Genomic DNA, 20,609 nt, shown 5'->3' on the forward strand with positions numbered 1-20,609 from the left:
GTATTCAACCCTCTTTTTATTAGTTGAGGCAGAGTGGGTTGAGTCAGATAGAACAGCCACTTCTCCTGGCTGCCTGTGTCTGAAGGGAGGTGTACTTGATTTGGGGAGAAAAAGAAGCCATGGTGAATCACGAAAACATATTCCCCAATGACAAGTGTATCGTGCTTGTCAATTTACAGAGGGTAGTGAGGGTAGGGGTTGATCTCAAATTTGACAGAAGAAACAGAGGTAATTTTTTTCTACCTGAAAATCTTTACCAGCACTTGAGGCCAGTGGGCACCATGAAAGTATCCTGAACGAAAGTGTTTTATTTCTCTATTGTTATTAAATAGTGAAACCTTCGTTGGGTTCATCCAAATTTTAGCTATAAGAGATGCTTTATCTATTTTTTCTTTACTTTGTCAATAGTTCTGAATAAATGTGTGTGCTTAAGTGTGCTTGCACATGTGTGTATTTTTTTTCCAGGCTTTCAGAAGCCTGCATTAATAATCTCTTAGGGTCCCGAAGCAGGAACATGTATGAGAATACAGAACCAGATGATATCTTCAGGCAGAAATTTAGGAAGAGTTGACTCACACTGAACACAAGCTAGTTCTTAGGCTTACTGTCAGAACAAAATTGATAAAGCTTAGGAGGACATTTCATCTCCTTTCAGTGTGGTTCAGCAAGGAGCTATTTAATGCCTCCTATTGTCAGGTGTGGTTTTAGGTACCATTCGTATCAGGTCTCTGCCCTCATGGAACCACCATTCTAATTGAGGGAGTAGTTTAAAGGGGATAGATGGGAATTAATAAACCAATAAAGAGAGGCTAAAATTTCAGACTGCAATGATGACGTCATTAAAGAACTGAAATAGGATGATGTGAACTGAAATGATGAGGGGCGATGCAGATGGCTGGAGGTGGCCTAAAGCCCAGGAAAGTGGTGGTGGAGAAGAAGGCAGGATTGGTGAGAAGAGCCTGGCAGCACAAAGATGTGTGTAAAATCACTGACAGGAAAGGGCTTTGTGTATTTGAAGATCATAAAAAGAGTAGCACAGGGCTGGAATTAGCTCCGTGAACAAGTGGAGAGAAGGAAGTGGAGAGGCAGATCAAGGAGGACTTCTTTGCTTATAGCAAGGGGGTTGAATTTTAGTTTTAGGACAATAGGAAGCTGTGGAATGACCTTAGAGGGAAGACATCATCCAAATGACAGTGTACTCTGTTCCTTAGCTGAAGAGAGAAAAAAACAGATGCAAGTGCAAGAGGTTTTAGTAGAAGTCTAGGGGATACATGATGGTGGTTATAGCATATCCACAAACACCTCATGACCCAGGGTGTCTGTTCATCTGCATTGCATGCATGTTTTTACCTCCTCTGACATAGTTATTTGCAGCCCTGTCTCATGGTCAAAAGTTAGCCAAGTGATTGAAGTATGACATATTGGCTGTGCCTTTGTGACAATCCTTAGTCTTGTCTGTTTAGCAAACAGTATGGCAAGTTGGAATTCTAGAGCAGTCACAGTATACCATGCTTGATCACATGGGTATACCTAAACAGTTACAAACCCCCAAACCTGATTATGAGCTCTTGTGAAACTTCTCTAAAAATTTGGGGCAATGTGGAGTTACAGGTAGAACTTGAGCTTTTCAAGTCAGAAACCTTAGTTCTGAATGTTTGTGCCTCTATGTATCAACTCAGAACTTTAGAGGAGATCCTTGCCCTTTAGGTGTGTTTGTGTGTTGAAGTGTTACTAACACTATTAATAATGTTTACACATGGGTAATATTAACCATAATAATGCTTACTTGGTGCCCAAAGTACGTTTGATACTTTACATATGTTACCTCTCTCAAGCATTACAGTAAACATACAATATGCATAGGATAGCCCCACTTTGCCAATAAGGAAATTGATCCTTAGATTAAATAACATACTTGAAATTGTGCAGTAAGTACATGGAGGAATGTCCATACAATATATCTATTTAAACCACCTAACAGTGGGGTATTATGGAAGAGCATATGGGAGCACTTTGCAAAGTGTCAACCGCAGAATAAGTGCTTGATAAATTTCACATTATACCTCTCTCTCTCTCTCTGCAGATTTCAGTCACTTATGACCACAGAATTAATTCTAAAGAAAGCAAATTGAAGGAGGTGTTTGCACGTATTTTTTTTTCCCTAATGATTCTACTGTACCCTGGAGCATTTTCACGGTTTGTGTTTAATCACAGAATCTCAGCCATGATGTTTCTGACAGGCAATTTCCTTAATGCATTTGACAGAGATGGATTACATGGAGGGCCATTGGACGCCATGGTTTTGTCTGCAAATGGTAAGACTAGATTAGAGCTATCTGGGTCTAGTGCCTCCAGTGATATTGCATCCTAATAATTCTTATGATAACATGGATCACCTTTGTGGACACACACATTCTTGGCCAGATGGGATACAGTGGTTTTCAAGAAACCCTGCCACTTTTATTACACTTTGAGAAACATCTGGACTAATATTTGTGTGTCAGAATCATAAATCAATTTAGTTTGCGGAGATAGGCCTAGTTATGCGGTTTATCTTCAAAGGCACTCTTTTTTGCTACCACTGAAAGTGGTAAATGAGGCACATAAATGTCGAGATATTGAATTCCTTCTGAAACTGTAAAGTCTTTACACTGGCATATGAAGATCTGAGCATCAGTCAGACTCTCAGGTACTTGATGAACAAGAGTGATTTGGATTCCATGGCATTTTATCCCTAGATAACAACAAACCCAACCCATTCTTGAGCAATGATACAATTCCCACTGGTGACTCACTTCCTGACCCTTTCTCCCCGTCCTCTGAAGTATGTCTCAGCCATTAGTTCCTATGTTTATTGGCGCACTTTAGTATAGATCAAAGGCACACAGACAGGTTCAGCGATATTTGCTAACCCTGGGAAACATGAATGCTACTATTTTGAAGGATATTCTTTATTTGTCACTGGTATTTAATTGCACAGATATGTACAACCATTGTAAAGGAGATTCCTAGATATCATGATACTTATCTCTAATGACATAAATATGTATATAAATATACATAAATATAAATGTGTATATAAATATTTATATAAACATAAACATATTTATATAAACATAAACATATTTATATAAACATAAACATAAACATATTTATATAAATATAAACATAAACATATTTATATAAATATAAACATAAACATATTTATATAAATATAAACATAAACATATTTATATAAATATAAACATAAACATATTTATATAAATATAAACATAAACATATTTATATAAATATAAACATAAACATATTTATATAAATATAAACATAAACATATTTATATAAATATAAGCATAAACATATTTATATAAATATAAGCATAAACATATTTATATAAATATAAGCATAAACATATTTATATAAATATAAGCTTAAACATATTTATATAAATATAAGCTTAAACATATTTATATAAATATAAGCATAAACATATTTATATAAATATAATATTTATATACACATTTATATTTATGTATATTTATATACATACTTACGTCTTTAAATATAAGTTTCATGGTATCTAGGAATCTTTGTGTCCTTAGAGATTCTATATGAAGCAATGACATTATTATAACTAACAGCATTAACTTAAATCTATCCTGCCATCAAGTATCCAGTCTGTATTAAAATGTATTCAGTGTTTTGAACAATATTCTTTATGACTTATTTTTAAAATATAGCTCTCTAGGCCAGGCACAGTGGCTCACACTTGTAATTTCAGCACTTTGGGAAACTGAGGCAGGCAAATTGCTTGAGACTGGGAGTTTGAGACCAGCCTGGGCAACATGAGGAAACCCCACCTCCACAAAAAAAAAAAAAAAAAAAAAAAATTCAGAAATTAGCTGGACATGGTGATGTGGTCCCAGCTACTTGGGAGGTTGAGGTAGGAGGACCACTTTAGCCTCATGAGGTCAGGGCTGCAGTGAGCCATGATGGTGCCACTGCACTCCAGCTTGGGCGATGGAGTGATACTCTGTCTCAAAAAATAAATAAAAAAATAAATAAAATGTAGCTCTCTAGTCATTTTGAAGTACTGAAATCATATGTAAGAAGAGTAGGAACAAGTAGCATAACACAGGATATAAATAATTAAAGTAATTTTTTCTTAAAGTGCATCTGTCCTTCCTTAATCCTTCTGAGAGATTATCGATCACTTAAAAAATTGTGTGAAGTCTTACAAAGAAGTATATACATAATATGATACTATAAGAAAGCCCTTGGCCAGGCACGGTGGCTCACGCCTGTAATCCCAGCACTTTGAGAGGCCAAGGCGGGCTAATCACGAGATCAGGAGATCGAGACCATCCTGGCTAACACAGTGAAACCCCATCTCTACTAAAAATACAAAAAATTAGCCAGGCGTGGTGGCGGGCGCCTGTAGTCCCACCTACTCGGGAGGTTGAGGCAGGAGAATGGTGTGAACCCGGGAGGCAGAGCTTGCAGTGAGCCGAGATCGTGCCACTGCAGTCCAGCCTGGGCAACAGAATGAGACTCTGTCTCACAAAAAAAAAAAAAAAAAAAAAAAAAAAAAAAAAAAGGAAAAGAAAAGAAGCGCTTTTAAAATCTTAGAAACAAAAATCGCTCTCTGTAAAATAATATTCATCAGCATTTTTCTTAATGGTGAGAAATTAGAAACAACCTAAATTTCTGACATAGAAAATTGCCTAATTTATGGCGGTCATATTGGAAAATGTTCACCATGTATTGTCAAGTGAACAAAGTGGTTTCCATGACCGCATGGGTCAAATCACAGCACTTTAAGAATCAACTCACAGAGAGAACAAATCTCGAGAATGTATCTGACTGTGTGCTAGCCATAGTTATCTCTAGATAGTGAGATTATAGGCCATTTTTATTTCATTTTAACTTTTCTCTGTTTCTCACATTTTTTGCATGCAATGTGGAATATTTGGTAATTGTGTTTAACAATTTTGGAAGATCAGCCAACTCAGCAAGAGGTGTATTATCTAACTGGAAAGAAAACCAGAGGTATAAATACGATGGAATGAAACACTCCCTGAGCCTGTGTGCATTCTGCATAGGCTTCTTGAAATAGTCCATGGCTGCAGAGATGGAAAAGTTAACATAAGTGCTTTAAGTTAAAATGAAGAAACTGTTGTACATCTTCCTATATTTCCTTTGGCTATCTAAGTCCTGCATTAGAATGTTCTGATATTTTCTGAATGGGGTTTTATGAAAAACCTAGAGTTAAAATTTGCATTGCAGTTAGTTTCAAAATGCTATTTAGAGGAAGCTTTTAGCTGCATGTTACAGAGGTCTAATATGGACCCTAACTGAAGTTATGCAGAAAGGAAATGTTTTGCTGTGTGTGTGGGTGTCTGCACCTTTTCTCCCCATCACCCACCTCGTTCCCTGAATGCTATTTTATACTCTAAGCAATTAAGAGTGGTTTATGCTGCAGACTTTTCCAATAAGCATTGACTCATTATACCAGTCCAGTATCATTATCCTGAGTTGAACATGTCCTGCAGCAGGTTTCATTTATTCTGCTGCAGTCTTCATTTCTACCATATATTTGGAGATTCAGATACAGATTTGCCTTGTAATTGTCAAAAGTAAGACCGCAAGAGCTGGTATAGGGCATGCTACGAAGGAACCAAAGAATGACATTGAGTTGGCTGTTAAAAATGCAAATTTTGGAGTTGGAAAGGACATCAAGAAAAAGGTTTAAGGAACAGAGGATACAGACAGCTAAGGATTGGGGAAAGTTCTTTGACACCATGAAGACTATAATTGCAGCCTGGGTAGCTTGATAAACCACTCAAGGAAGGGTTGGTTCAAGAACATCAGGCTAGAGGCAAGTCAAGACCTTAAGGCATTTGGAGGTGATACGGAGTGATTTCTCGAAAAGGAATTCTCAATGGATAGAATCCTCATAGGAAGACCTACACTGATTCAGGTAATAAGGAGTGATTTCTAGAAAGGAATCCTCAGGGCTGGGCACGGTGGCTCATGCCTGTAATCCCAGCACTTTGGGAGGCCGACGTAGGTAGATCATGAGGTCAGGCGATCGAGACCATCCTGGCTAACACAGTGAAACCCCATCTCTACTAAAAATACAAAAAAATTAGCCGGGCGTGGTGGCGGGCGCCTGAAGTCACAGCTACTCAGGAGGCTGAGGCAGGAGAATGGTGTGAACCCGGGAGGTGGAGCTTGCAGTGAGCTGAGATCGCGCCACTGCACTCCAGCCTGGGCGACAGAGCGAGACTCCCTCTCAAAAAAAAAAAAAAAAAAAAAAAGGAATCCTCAATGGATAGAATCCTCATAGGGAGACCCACACTGATTCAGGTATTCTCTCCAGTTTAGAATACATTGCCCCCACTCCAAAACACTATGTCCCCCAAAACACACACACACACACACACACACACACACACATACACACACAAAATAGAGCACATAAGCCACTCTATGCAGCATAATTATCTGTATCTCATTTTCCCTTCATTTGTAAACTAGCCTACCACTGGGAAAAAGGTACCATAGGTTATAAATTACTGATGGGGTCTAGGTCAGCAGTTCCCGTGGTTCCCACAGACACCTGCAGGCAATCCCTTCTATAACTTTCCCTATGCATCCAGCAAGTAAGTTTTCTTTCTTTCCTCCAGCTTTCTGGAAGAATCTGTTCACCATTGTACATCTTGATCGCCTTTATGTCTGCAATAGGCCCAACTCACATCCATAAGAAAAACAGATCATTCTCCTAATTGAAATAGAAGAGCTTGGGCAAGACATCAATTAGTGATGCAAATGTAGAGTTCTTCATTGAGCAATGACAAAATCCCAAGACTTATTAGAAGACCAATAAGAAATGGAAAACCATGATTTACTGGCAGGGCTAGCACAGTTAAATTTAAAATAAAAATCTTGGCCGGGCACAGTGGCTCACTCCTGTAATCCCAGAACTTTGGGAGGCCAAGGCGGGCAGATTGTTCTAGGTCAGGAGTTCGAGACCAGCCTTGCCAACATGGTGAAACCCCGTCTCTACTAAAAATACAGAAATTACCCAGGCATGGTGGCACACCTGTAATCCCAGCGACTCGGGAGGCTGAGGCAGGAGAATCACTTGAACGCAGGAGGCGGAGGTTGCAGTGAGCTGAGATCACACCACCGTACTCCAGCCTGGGTGACAGAGACTCCGCCTCAAACATAAATAAAATAAAAATAATATAAAATAAAAAATAAAACTTCCCTCATTGTTTTTGTTGTCAGCCTTTACAAGCATTGATGCTTCCAACTCTTCCACAAATTCCCAACAGGTATTTTTACATATCATCCAGGCATTTTTTTTTTCTTTCCTGAGTGATACTCTGATCTCTATCTGATGAGCTGGAGAGTGACCTAAGTTAGAAGGGAAAGTAGAGGAGGTTGCTAAGAGGGTAGGTGTAGTACTGAGGTATAGAGGGTTGGTAGAGTGGTATTGCTACTCAGAAACCAGTACCACATGAAATCAGAAATTCAGCTCCCCAGAAATCAGTGCCATTCCATCAACAAACAGATCCACTGTGTTCTCCTGGCCTTGCATGGTTCTAGGTTTGTAGAGCAAGTTTTTAATTCGGGTTTATGGCATTGCTCATATTCGCCATTTCAGTCATTTTTGGTAACAGTTACGTTGAGCTTATCTGCATAGACGCACATGATGAACAAGGATTGACTATTCTTCAGAGGATGTTAACTGTTTAGAGAATCATGAAGGAAGCATATTTTACAAAGACCTTTTTTTTTTCCTGGACTTCTCCCTAATCATCTCAATCAGAACCTTGAAAAAGGGGCCCAGGAATGCGAAGTGTATGCCTGTCTCCCACCCCCACATAGTGTCTAGATGATCAATCCTATTCGGGGACCCCTTGGATGTGAGTGTGATATCATTAGAACATAATGAAACTGTGATTCCTAACCCAGAGGAAAATCCATCTTAATTCTTCACCATCATACTTTATAGTTAGTGCTCTCTTCCAAAGGAAACCCCTTTCAACCCCTCTCATTTTTTAATATGGAACTTTGTCTTAATAATGGATTTCTTCAGTCTTTAATATTTGATGGGAGAAGTAATTCCAGTCATGGCACATCAGAAAGTTGCTTTTTTTCCTCTTTCTAATAAGACGTATAATCCGTTGCTGACAAAAAAAGAAAAAAAAAAAAACAGCACATTGCTACAATATTTCCTGGATGCTTTACAATACACTGTGACAAATGGCGCCTCATGTTGTACAATTGTCCTCATGGCTTGTAACACATCATTTAATGAATTGATCACAGTGGAATGTAAAGATGAAGCAGCATTTATTTTGTATGTTATATTGCATATAATTTTTAGAGTTGACATTTATAACCATGGAAGCTGTTATTTTACATATCATCTTCAAACCATATCAGCCTTAAACACATTTAAATTTAATAAGCAAGTAGATTAGATTTGCTTTTAAGCTAGGCATATCATTACAGTGCGTGTTTCCGTCAGAAGGGCATGCTCACGATTAAATACTGTCTTCAGTTGTTTTAAAGAAACAAAAATTTTAAAGAAGGGGGTTAGAGCGAAAGCTGAAATAATTGAGTATGAAGCCCTAAGAATTCTCTGTGGTGGACAACTGTAAGCATAGCCTTCTAACCATTGAGGCGAAAGAGTCCGTTTGGTTTTATTAACCATCACCAGGCAACTTTGAGGCAGAATGTAAGCCTTGGGAATGAAATGCAAATTCTATAATAGGAACATCATTGTGATAATAATTTATTAAATTTCCTGAGCCGTCTCCCTCTAAGGAGGGCTGCACAAACGGCCCTGGTGATTAATGTTCAACATCGTTTAACATTTTATTAGAGGGAAACAGTTTTTAATCTATTGATGCCCTGTCTGTAGAATTCTACGAGCTGTTTTCAAAACCAGAGAAAGGGGGATAAAAAAAGAAGCAAAAAATAATTGGTGGGGGAAGGGGGTAGGTAGTAGAAGGAATTCGCAATAGCGGTTCTAGTTCTGATGCCAGATTTCTCAGAATCTCCTGTGTTTTACTGGCATTTTATTGTTTTAGCCTCTTGGTAGCCTGTTGATGTTTTGTGCAAGGAGAGAGAGTTTCCTTGTGAATCTGACGTTAGGGAAAATGTCATATTCAGTGGAGAGGTTCCATCTAAGAGAGTTGGGGTGAGAAATTGGCTGAACTGGGTGCTTCTCTGAATCCTAGTAGTGTTTGCTTAGGAGCTTTAGACTCAAATGCCTATAGAGGCCAGAAGGGTCCCTTCAATGGAGATTATAATACGTGGAATGTAGTAAAGTACTTAGCAAGCACTCTTCACTTTGAATAAATATTGAGGTACTGAAGCATCAACTGTGAGAAGACCAAAGACAAATAACAGCAAAATACTATGTGAAATCATAGAGGAGATCCAGACACACGAAAAGGGGGCCAAATGGAAAAACTAATGCAATAGACAGTTTAGATCATAGTATTGTTTCGACGTCAATTTCCTGGTACCCATCATTGTATTATGATTAAGTATGATGTTAAACATTAGGAGTGACTGGGTGAGAGACCCAGGAGTGCTCTATATTATTTTTGCAATCTTTCTGTGAGTCTAAAAGCATTTCAAAATAAATACAACATTTTTAAAAAGTAAAATTGGAACATACAAAACACACTAATACGGAAGATGAAGTCCGAGGATCATGTGCTTACAACATTGTTACTTCGCCAGTCTCACACCCTCTTCTGAGAACAATGTAAAAAGCAGAGAGAAAGATCTCTTCCCCTCCTCTTTGTGTCGACAGACATCTTTGGGTTGGACAAGGTGGTAGGCAAAATAATGCCCTTGCCTTACCTATGGCCATGTCTTAATCTCTGGAACCTGTGAGCATGTTGGGTTACACTGCAAAGGAAAATTAAGATTACATGTAGAGTTAGGCTTGCTAATCGGTTGGCCTTGAGATAGGCGCATTATCCTGGATTATCTGGATGGATCCAATAGGATTACATAGGGTTGTTATAAGTGAAGAGGGAGGCAGAAGAGAGAGAGTATCAGAGCAGCTCTTCCTGAAAAGAACTCAACACATTATTGCTGTCTGTAAGATGGAAGGAAGCCATGAGCCAAAAGCAGCAGGCTGCCGCTAGAGTCTAGAAAAGGCAAGAACTCAGATTCTTCCCTAGAACCTCCAGAAAAGAACATGCCCCACAAACTCCTTAATTGTAGCTGGATGAGACCTGCATCAGATTTCTGAACTACAGAACTATAAGATGGGTTGTTTGTGTTGTTTAAAGCCATCATGTTTGAGGTCTTTGTTACAGCAGCAGTATCAAGCTAATACAGGCAAGTAATCAATATAACTGCAAATGCTTTTATGGTCCTTACACGTGCCAGATGCTCTTATGAGCATTTTACATGCATTACCGTCCTTGATCCAATGAGGCAGGTACTACATTGTGTATTCTGCTTTATAACTGAGGATACTGCAACAGTGTGATGTTAACTTGCTCGCTGTCACAGAGCTGGTATGTGACAAAGCAGATGCTTAGTCAGAAATACAGAGCCCATGCTCTGCACCAGCAACCATGGTAGACAGCTCAGAATATTAGTACTAGACTCTAGCACAACAGGTCCTAGAAGATATTATGGTAATGTATTTACGTAACTCAAAATGATCAGACATGTCACAAGAATGAAAGAATGACAGACTAAAATCTTCTTGGAGAGTTGACTGGAAGGATAAGATATTCTAGTAGCAGTTGAAAATATAGTAGCATCTATCTCTAGCTATCTTTTTTTTTTTTAAGGATTGGCTAAAAATAGTCTTTCCCAAGTATAAGCCGTATCATATTATTATGGATTTAGACGGGTATACATGATGCTATTAAATAACATTGAATCAATTATTGGGAGAAGGAGTTATTCTCTTTCCATTTCTCTTTCCATTACCCTATTCGTGTCAATGAGAAAGTCTTTATTTGGTACTAGAGTGTCTTAAACATCTCTCTAATACTTTGTGATCTCTGTTTTTAGTAATAAAATGGAAGCCTCCGGCTCAGTGTCTACAGGTAATGGTTGTTAGATTTTAATAACTTGTGATTGCACTGTATTTATTTTATGGCTACCTTTTATTCAGAATAAGTGATATTGTTATTTTATCATTTACATTACTGATATCCAGTTGCCTTTTAAAAATAATGCATTTCAATTTAAACAAAGCACATCAATGTAAAAAGATACTAAGCAGCTGACAATTTATGATTATGGTACAGGATGACCGTCTAGTGACTTTGGCAGTGGAACGGCTAGAGTTTGGGAAAATCTAGCTCTTTGGGGCTAAAGATTTCAAAATGTACATTTAAATTACCAAACAGATACTCATTACTAAAACTCAATGCCTGAAACCATCTTTGAATCCATTCTGTTTTCTACCCCTTTCCCAGAAACACTTCGTTTTATTACATTTAGAAAGTGGTGAATTTAGCCCAGGCACAGTGGCTCATGTCTGTAATCCCAGCAATTTTAGAGGTTGAGGTGGGTGGATTGCCTGAGCCCTGGAGTGCAAGACCAGCCTGGGGAATATAGTCAAACCTCATCTCTACAAAAACTACAAAAATTAGCTGGACGTGGTGGTGCATGCCTGTGGTTCTCGCCACTAGGGAGGCTGAGGTGGGAGGATTGCTTAAGCCTGGGAGGCAGAGGTTGCTGTGAGCCGAGATTGTGCCACTGCACTCCAGCTTGGGCTACAAAATGAGACCCTGTTTCACAAAAAAAAAAAAAAAGTGAAGAATTCAAAGACAGCTGAATAACACCTTTCAATATTTTATCGAGGTTAATAAAATTGATTGGTTCTTAATTAGTTGTTTATTGTTCTTCTAATTCTAGCAACAAAACTTTAAAAAATTATACTCTCTGAATTTTAATAAAGAGCTCTTCAGTCTATCAACACCCTTAAGTCTGTCAACTTCACCATGTTTTGTGCCTCATATTGCATTTCTTGTTGGACCAGCCATATTAGGAGTTGGGGTGGACTCTGTTCATGGACTGAGTTTCCCAGAATAGCCTTATATTTGGTGATAATGTCTCTGGCTGAGCCTCATTCTCTTAAATTAATTTCATCACACAGGCTTGCAAAATAAGGCTTCTTGTGAAAGTCTTGGTTGCAGTGTCTTTTCTAGCCAGTTTCACCAATGACCTGGTGTGCAAATTTGTCCACTGTAAGAGTATCAAAGACATATTGAGAGGAGGTGATCATTATTACACGACCTGGGCAGGTGGCTGTCCTCTAATATTGGCAAGGCAAAACAGAACAACTGACCCAACAGCACAGATTTGAAAGACTGTTTGAGGACCTACGATGCTTGCTCTTGCTCTCTTTATTTATGTATTTATTTATTTGTTTGTTTATTTATTGAGACAGAGTCCAACTCTCTTGCCCAGGCTGGAGTGCAGTGGTGGGATCTCAACTCACTGCAACCTCCACCTCCCAGGTTCAAGCGATAGCCTCAGCCTCCCGAGTAGCTGGAACTACAGGCCTGCACCACCACACTTGGCTAATTTTTGTATTTTTAGTAGAAACGGGATTTCACCGTGTTGGCCAGACTGGTGTTCAACTCCTGACCTCAGGTAATCTGCCTGCCTCTGCCTCCCAAAGTGCTGGGGTTACAGGCATGAACCACTGTGCCCAGCTCGATGCTCATAATTTTAGAAAGGTGCCTGGTTTATATTTCTTATAAATGTGTCACTGAATAAAGGTTAGCCCACGTGATATGATTTTTTCTTTCATTCTCTACTGCCACACTGCTATTTGTGGCAAGATCTAAGGAGTTTCTTCCAGGCTGTCACCGTCTGAAAAAAAAAATGTGAGTATCATATTTCCCAGCCTCCCATAGGGAGTTTTAATTATTATTATTATTGTTATTATTATTGTTTGCTCTTTTCTCTTCATCATCCTACTCCTCCTCATTTTTCTAAAGGAAGTAAAGGAACAGGCTTGGCCCAATAATTTTGAAGTATAAATAATCAGTATGTTCCATAGTCAGAATGGTAATAATGATTCCGTTAACTCAGTTTATTTAGTGCTTGTGTGCATGGTGAATGTAATGTTCTTGTTATCGACTGTGTTATCTTCACTCTCCCCTTTCATCCTGAAGATGTCTCAGGGAATTTCTCCTTCAACTTTTCCTACCCACCCTGCTTCACTCCCCCTCTCCCCAGCCCCATTTGCCACTGACTTGCTTAGCAGCACAAAATCAAGAAACATCTTTCATTCAGACCATTGCCAACACTGATAGTGTAGGTACCCAAAGGTCCAATGGCTTCCCAAACATTTAAGAGGCGTCTACAATGTGCAGGTTAGTGCAACCGGCTCTTTAAATGCACAAACCCACTTCACCCTGACAACAATCCTGAGCCATGAATATTTTTATTCGCATTTTTTAGAGGAAACCAGGGTCAATGCCTTCAAAGAACTTGTAGTTAGGCAAAGGAGACAGGCATGTGTGTATAACTATAAGTAAAATGCAAAGGCATCTGTGTACAGAGGGTCAGGAGTCATGCTGCAAAGTGAGTTTTTGGAAGGTTTGCGGAAAGAAGGGAAGCCTGGGCAGGCTTTTGAGGATGGGTGGGAATTTTTTCACACAGATGATTTATGGAAGGGTGTTTCAAGCAAAGAGGACAGCATGTGCAAAGGGAAAAGGAAATGGAATTCTGAGCCAAAGGTAAATATGCACAGCTAAATATAATTAGAGTGGTGTGCAGAGGGGAAGTTGGGTTATCTGAAATATATAAATCCAGTGGTCTAATCTTTGCACGCAAGTCTGGGTAATTTTAAGGAGAGTTTAAAAGACTCCATTTCGAAGGTGCACACCATAGCCATCTTTCAGCCAGTTGCTCCTTGTGTGCTAGACACCTGAACACATGTATTACTCCTGTTCCATCTCTCCCAGTTATTCCTTCTCTACCCATCTCCAATCTGTCCTTCATTCTAGCGTTCTCTGGTTTCTCCAGGCTGTTGAAACTAAGTACAGATGTGGCTCTTCCAAGCCTCCTTCATAGCCGTTGTCTTTAGGGATGAAGAAAATGAATAAGGAAAACTGTGGCTCTGAGCAGCTATTGCTTCATGTCGTGGTTGAAGCAGGAAGCGACTGAGCTTGCTATCGATTTTAACTCCTGATCTTGGGAATCCCAGAGCTTCTTTCTGTTTCTGGAGTGATGTTTTTCTTTGAAGCTAAGTTAAAAGGTAGTCATGGGGAGAGAGCCTAAAAACCTGTGAGTGGAAAAAAAAAAAAAAAAAAAAAACATCAAGCTGTGATACTGCAGAATTATCACAGATAGTGTAAAACTGTGTGGCCATGCCTTAAAAAAAGTTAAACATAAAATTACCACATTACCAAGCAATTCCACTTGGAAGTTTATTTGCAGTAACATTGAAAACAAGTACTCAAACAAAAATGTGTACAGAAATGTTCATCACAGCATTATCCACAATAGCTAAAAGGTGGAAACAACTCAACTGTCCATCACCAGGTGTGTGGATAAACTAAATGTGGTATATCCCTGTAGTAGAACGTTATTCAACAGTAAAAATAAGTGGAGTACTGATACATGCTACAATGTAGATGAGAGCATTATGCTAAGGGAAGGAACCAGACACAAAAGGTCACATGTTATTCCATTTCCGTGAAATATCCAGAATAGGAAAATTCACAGAGACAGAAAACAGAATGGGGGTTGCCAAGGGAGCAGGAATTGGGAGTGTAACTGAAAAATGATCATGTGTTTTCTCTTTTTTCCCCCGTTCCACTCAGCTCATACCTTGTGGTTTTCTTTCTTTCTTTTTTTTTTTTTTTTTTTTTTTTTGAGACGGAGTCTTGCTCTGTCGCCCAGGCTGGAATGCCGTGGAGCGATCTCGGCTCACTGCAAGCTCCACCTCCTGGGTTCACGCCATTCTCCTGCCTCAGCCTCCCAAGTAGCTGGGACTACAGGCACCCGCCACCACAGCTGGCTAATCTTTTGTATTTTTAGTAGAGACGGGGTTTCACCGTGTTAGCCAGGATGTTTTCAATCTCCTAACGTCGTGATCTGCCTGCCTTGGACTCCCAAAGTCCTGGGATTACAGGCGTAAGCCACCGCACATGGCCAATATACCCGGTGGTTTTCTTCTGGGGTGATGAAAATGTTTTGAAACTAGACAGAGGGTGGTAGTTGTGCAACATTGTGAATGTACTAAATGCTACTCATTTGTACACTTAAAAATAGTTAATTTTATGTTATATGAATTCCACCTCCATTGCAAAAGAGATAAAATCAAAAACAGGAAGACAGAGTGTTTTAGTTTGTTTTGTGTTTTTGTAACAGAATATCTAAGACTGGGTAACTTAAAAGCAATCAAAGTGTATTTGGCTCATGGGTTTGGAGGCTGGAAAGTCCAAGAGCATGACACTGCATATCACATGGGCTTTCCTGCTCCTCCATCACATGGTGGAAGGGCAAGAGGGAAGAATAGATGAACTCACTTTTATAACAATCCACTCACATGATAACTAACTCACTGCAGCAGTAATGACTTTATTCGTGAAAGTGGAGTTCTCGTAATCTAATCACCTCTTACTGGGCCTCACCTCCCAACACTGTTGCAATGGATATTAAATTTCTGACACATGGACTTTGGGGGACACATTGAAACCATAGCACACTATCAGAGGCAAAATATAGTGTTGGTTCCCAGGCAATGAGTTGGCTGCCTTGTTCACAGTTTGCTCAGTATGAACCATGCTTGCAGGAGAACCCCTGAAATCAACCCTTAGAGAAATGGTGTCCATCTGGGAAAGTAGAAAAGGAGACAGCTCCAAGCACCAGGACTGAGTTTCAGTTCCAAGGGACAAGGGAAGTAAGAATATCATCACCACAGGTCCGTCCTCCTCCCCAGAGGAAGAACACAGGCTGCAGAGGTGACAGCTCACAATGTTAGGGACTGTTGATGAGAAAATTGGAAATGGATGGATTTTTATGGCAATGCATTTTTAACTGCACTTCAGCATAGAGGGGGACATTTTAAGGAGCTAAGAGCTTAAACCAGACAAGATTTCCTTCAGTGTGATAATAAATACACCAAAGTGCCCTTTTATGTTTAATAATTCAGGATCCACTGAGTGTTTAAAGGGTTTTTTTTCTGTTTTATCATTTGAAAAATCGAATGGTAATCATTTAAAAAGTAGTAGGTGAGAAATGTTTTCCAAATAGGCCCTGAATCATGCACTTCAAAATGTCTTTGGAAATGAATGACTGAGTGTTTCAGGCAGCGTACGCCTGAAGGTTTGGAAGTTTTAACACAGCCAAACACCTGTCATTGCTGTGTATACTCATGTTCAGAGGAATGGTATCTACTTCCATACACAGAATCAGCCAATAATCTGATCAGGGCTGGGATGAAATTAGACAAAAAGGCTGGGCAGTGCAGTAGCTCACGCCTGTAATCCCAGCACTTTGGCAGGCTGAGGCAGACCAATCATTTGAGGTCAGGAGTTCAAGATCTGCCTTTGCCAACGTGGTGAAACCCCGTCTTTACTAAAATACAAAGATTAGCTGGGCATGGTGGCAGGCACCTTTAATCCCAGTTTGCTCAGGAGGCTGAGACCCAAGAATTGCTTGAACCCAGGAGGTGGAGGTTGTAGTGAGCTCAGATCTCATAACTATACTCCAGCCTGGGCAACAGAGCAAGACTCTATCTCAAAAAAACAAAACAAAACAACAACAACAACAACAACAAAGAAATTAGACAAAAGAACAAACAACGTGTTGGGGAACACTTTTGTAATCTCATTCTTGAATGTGCTCAGAATGTGGATAGTCACAATCATAGAGCCAGATTTCTGGGAAATTCTAGAGTGAAATCTAAAAGTCAGATACTAGTCATAATACATAATAGTGTCAGGGACATGAACACATAGCACCAACAAAACTGGTTTGAATTGTTCTGGGCTACAAATTGGGCCTCCACCTGGAATATAATGCAAAATCCTAGGAAGTAGTGACTTTTAGAAAGGAAACTCGACTGTCCTTGTAGATGGTAAGGATGATACTGTGGTTCTGAGATTTAAAGCAGGTAGGTTTTCCCAGGGAGTGGAGTGGAGAAGTGAATAACTTAATGGTGACACTAAGTTGGCCTGTCTTATGGAAGAGCCTGAATGTGACAGGAAGCACGCATGTGCATCGTTAAGTATCATCTTAGAAAATATAACCCACAACTGTGCTCTCTCCATATTCAGCAAATGTTTATTGCACCTCTATTTATGGTGTGCCTGTCAGACACTGCAGTAGGCACTAAGGATGATGTTGCAATATACCCCACAGACAACATCACTGCTTGCATGGAGCTCATATTTTCTGCTCGAGGAAAAACATTCAAGAAGGAGTTGTGACAGAAACTGCCAGCTGTCTACCCAGTATCCCTTTATGCCTTCTTTTAAAGGAATAGAGTGCTTGGAAATAGTTCACTTAGTCAGAGTCAGTATGCCCCAAATTAAAGGATAATAATGCTGTGTTCCTCGGCTTAGCAGAGAGGGATCCCCATTAAGATGGCAGTGAAAATTATTAGACATGCATCCTGGGAAAAGCCTCTAATAGGGACTAACTCATCGTGATGAAAACACCATAGGCCCTTTCATGCTTTCTCCGCGCTGTTGTATGACATTATGTGACTTTGAGGCAACTTCGTTGGTGGAATCTATGTTCTAAGGATAATGGAATAAAAAAGTGAATGAGGCAAGAAGGTTTAAGATGGAATATGTAGCCCTGAACTTCTTGTATGGGAGAGAAAAATTAATCTATATTTTGTTTAAGCCACCATTATTTGGGGACTCTCTAAATAGCAACCAAATTGAATTTTATGAGATCAGTGTGGGAATCACAAATATAAATTTATTTCTGAATGTAAAAATTGCTCTGCAGGCAACAAAGCTGGAAGATATGAGAGAGAGGAATTGGGGCAAGGGTTGGAGAGAAAGACCTCTCTGAGGTTAAAACAAAGTCTGGTATATGCACCTCTCAGGGAGAAACATCCCAAACCAAAGGAATGCCAGATACCAAAGTGAGCAACACAGCATAGCAGAGAAACAACGGAGAGCCAGGTAGTAGAAGAGGTGAAGTCACCAGCTGAGGTGAAGGAAACAGGAGAGATCAAGTCCTGTGTCTCCTATTGTGGGCTATGTTAAGAAGTGGGGATTCTATTCTGGCTGAGGCAGGAGGTCCTTAGTTTGATCTAGGCAAGAGAATGCCACGATCTGATTCTTTTTTTTTTTTTTCTTTTCTTTTTTTTGAGACAGTTTTGCTCTTGTCGCCCAGGCTGGAGTGCAATGGCACAATCTGGGCTCACTGCAACCTCTGCCCCACTGGGTTCAAACGATTTTCCTGCCTCAGCCTCCCAAGTGGCTGGGATTACAGGTGTCCAACACCACGCCTGGCTAATTTTTAGTATTTTTAGCAGAGATATGGTTTCACCTTGTTGGCTAGGCTGGTCTTGAATCCAGACCTCAGGTGGTCCACCCACCTCAGCCTCCCAAAGTACTGGGACTACAGGCAAGAGCCACCATGCCCGGCCGATCTGATTCTTATTTACAAAGCTTACCCAGGCTGGTAGAGAATGGGCACGGCAAGCGTGAAGTTAGGAAGCTCATTTGGGCAGTGACTGTAGACTGTAGATCAGAGGGAGTATTGATGGTGGGGTAGACTTAGATGGCAGAGGAGATGTACGAGGGATTTATTTCAGAGGTAACACTGGCAGAACTTGCAGAAGTTTGGGAAGCCAATTAACACCTAAGTAGCATGTGTTAGGAGGATATGCATAAATGTAGAATTTGCATTGACTTTGGAAGATCCTCCCATGGTCTTTCTCCTAGAGCCGCTTAACTGTCTCCAAAAATCAATATGGGTTACTCAACAACAACAACAACCACAGCAATATAAACAACTTGATTAAAATGGTTAAAGGACTTGAATAGACATTTCTTCAAAGAACATAAACAAATGGCCAATAAGCACATGAAAAAAGATGCTCAACATCATTAATCATTAGAGAAAAGACAAATAAAAATTACAATGAGATACCACCTCACACACATTAGGATGGCTGCAAATAAAAAAAAAAAAAAAAGAAGCACAGAAAACACGTGTTGATAAGGATGTGGAAAAATTGGACCCATTACGCCCTGTGGGTAGGAAGGTAAAATAGTACAGGTGCTGTGGAAGACAGCATGGAGATTCCCAAATAATTAAAAATAGAACTGCCAGATGATCCAACAATTCTTATTCTGGATATATATTTAAAAGAGGTGAATGTAGAGCAGGGGTCCCCAGTCCCTGGGTCATGTAGTGGTACCGGTGTATGGCCTGTTAGGAATTGGGCTGCAGTGGATGAGCAAGCAAAGCTTCTTCTGTATTTACAGCCACTCCTCATTGCTTGCATCAGCACCTGAGCTCGACCTCCTGTCAGAGCAGCCACGGCATTAGGTTCTCACAGCAGCACAAACTCTTTTGTGAACTCTGCATGTGAGGGATCTAGGTTGTGCACTTCTTATGAGAATCTAATGCCTGATGATCTGAAGTGGGACAGTTTCATCCTGAAACCATCCCCTGCAACAGCCCCCCACCCTGGCCATTAGTTTATCTTCCACAAAACTGGTCCCTGGTGCCAAAAAGGTTGGGGTCTGCTGAAGTACAGCCTCAAAGAAATGTTCTTTTTTTTTGAGACCGAGTCTCACTGTCACCCTGGCTGGAGTGCCAGGCTAATTTTGTTTTTATATTTTTAGTAGAGATGGGATTTCACCGTGTGAGCCAGGATGGTCTGGATCTCCTGACCTCGTGATCCGCCTGCCTCGGCCTCCCAAAGTGCTGGGATTACAGGCGTGAGCCACTGCACCCAGCCAAAGAAATGTTTTTACACTCATATTCATAACAGCTAAAATATGGGACTAATACAAGTGTTTATCAATGATGAACAGATAAGCAAAATGTGATACTCACACACGCACAATGGAATATTATTCAACCTTAGAAGGGAAGAAAATTCTGACGCATGCTTCACAAATGAGCCCTGAGGACATTATTCTAAGTAAAATAAGCCAGTCACAAAAACACACGCACTGTATAATTCCACTCACATGAAGTTTGTAGTGAAAAGCAGAGAGTCAAGGAGAATGGTGGTGGCTGGTGGAGAGGAAGGTAGGGGAAAGGACAGTTATTGTTTAATGGGTACACAGTTTCAGTATTACAAGACAAAAAGAGTTCTGGAGGTTATGGTGGTGATGGTTGCATAACAATATAAATATACTTAATGCTACTGAATTGTATGCTTAAAATGGTTAAGATAGTAACTTTTATGTTGTATTTGTGTTACCACTGTGAGGAATTGGAAAATTATAGAGGTGGGCCGTGCCCAGGATTGCAGTGAGTTTTCAGCTGGCACAGCTTTGTCCATGCTTCTCACAGCTCAGATAGGGTCCCTCTATGTGTGAGCCCTAGTCCACATTTTGGTTAATACATGGTCTCTTCCATTTCTCTGTTTCCCTTTGCAAATATCT

The 20,609-nt window shown here is 39.9% G+C and overlaps 1 protein-coding gene across 30 annotated transcripts in view, besides 1 other annotated feature; it reads left to right on the top strand.

Annotated features, from left to right (window-relative positions):
• RBFOX1 (RNA binding fox-1 homolog 1) overlaps window positions 1-20,609 on the top strand; it is a 2,473,620-nt gene that overhangs the window by 1,943,411 nt on the left and 509,600 nt on the right. The window lies entirely within an intron of this gene.
• Window positions 1,547-2,746: an enhancer, noted in NCBI's record as "P300/CBP strongly-dependent group 1 enhancer chr16:7234679-7235878 (GRCh37/hg19 assembly coordinates)". NCBI's record gives its function as "activates an origin of replication core promoter dependent on BRD2, BRD4, P300/CBP, MED14 and CDK7 cofactors, with strong dependence on P300/CBP, by STARR-seq in HCT116 cells {active_cell/tissue: HCT116}" and the evidence as "EXISTENCE:reporter gene assay evidence [ECO:0000049][PMID:35650434]".

The sequence above is a fragment of the Homo sapiens genome, chromosome 16, assembly GCF_000001405.40.
Source record: "Homo sapiens chromosome 16, GRCh38.p14 Primary Assembly".
Classification (NCBI taxonomy): domain Eukaryota; kingdom Metazoa; phylum Chordata; class Mammalia; order Primates; family Hominidae; genus Homo; species Homo sapiens.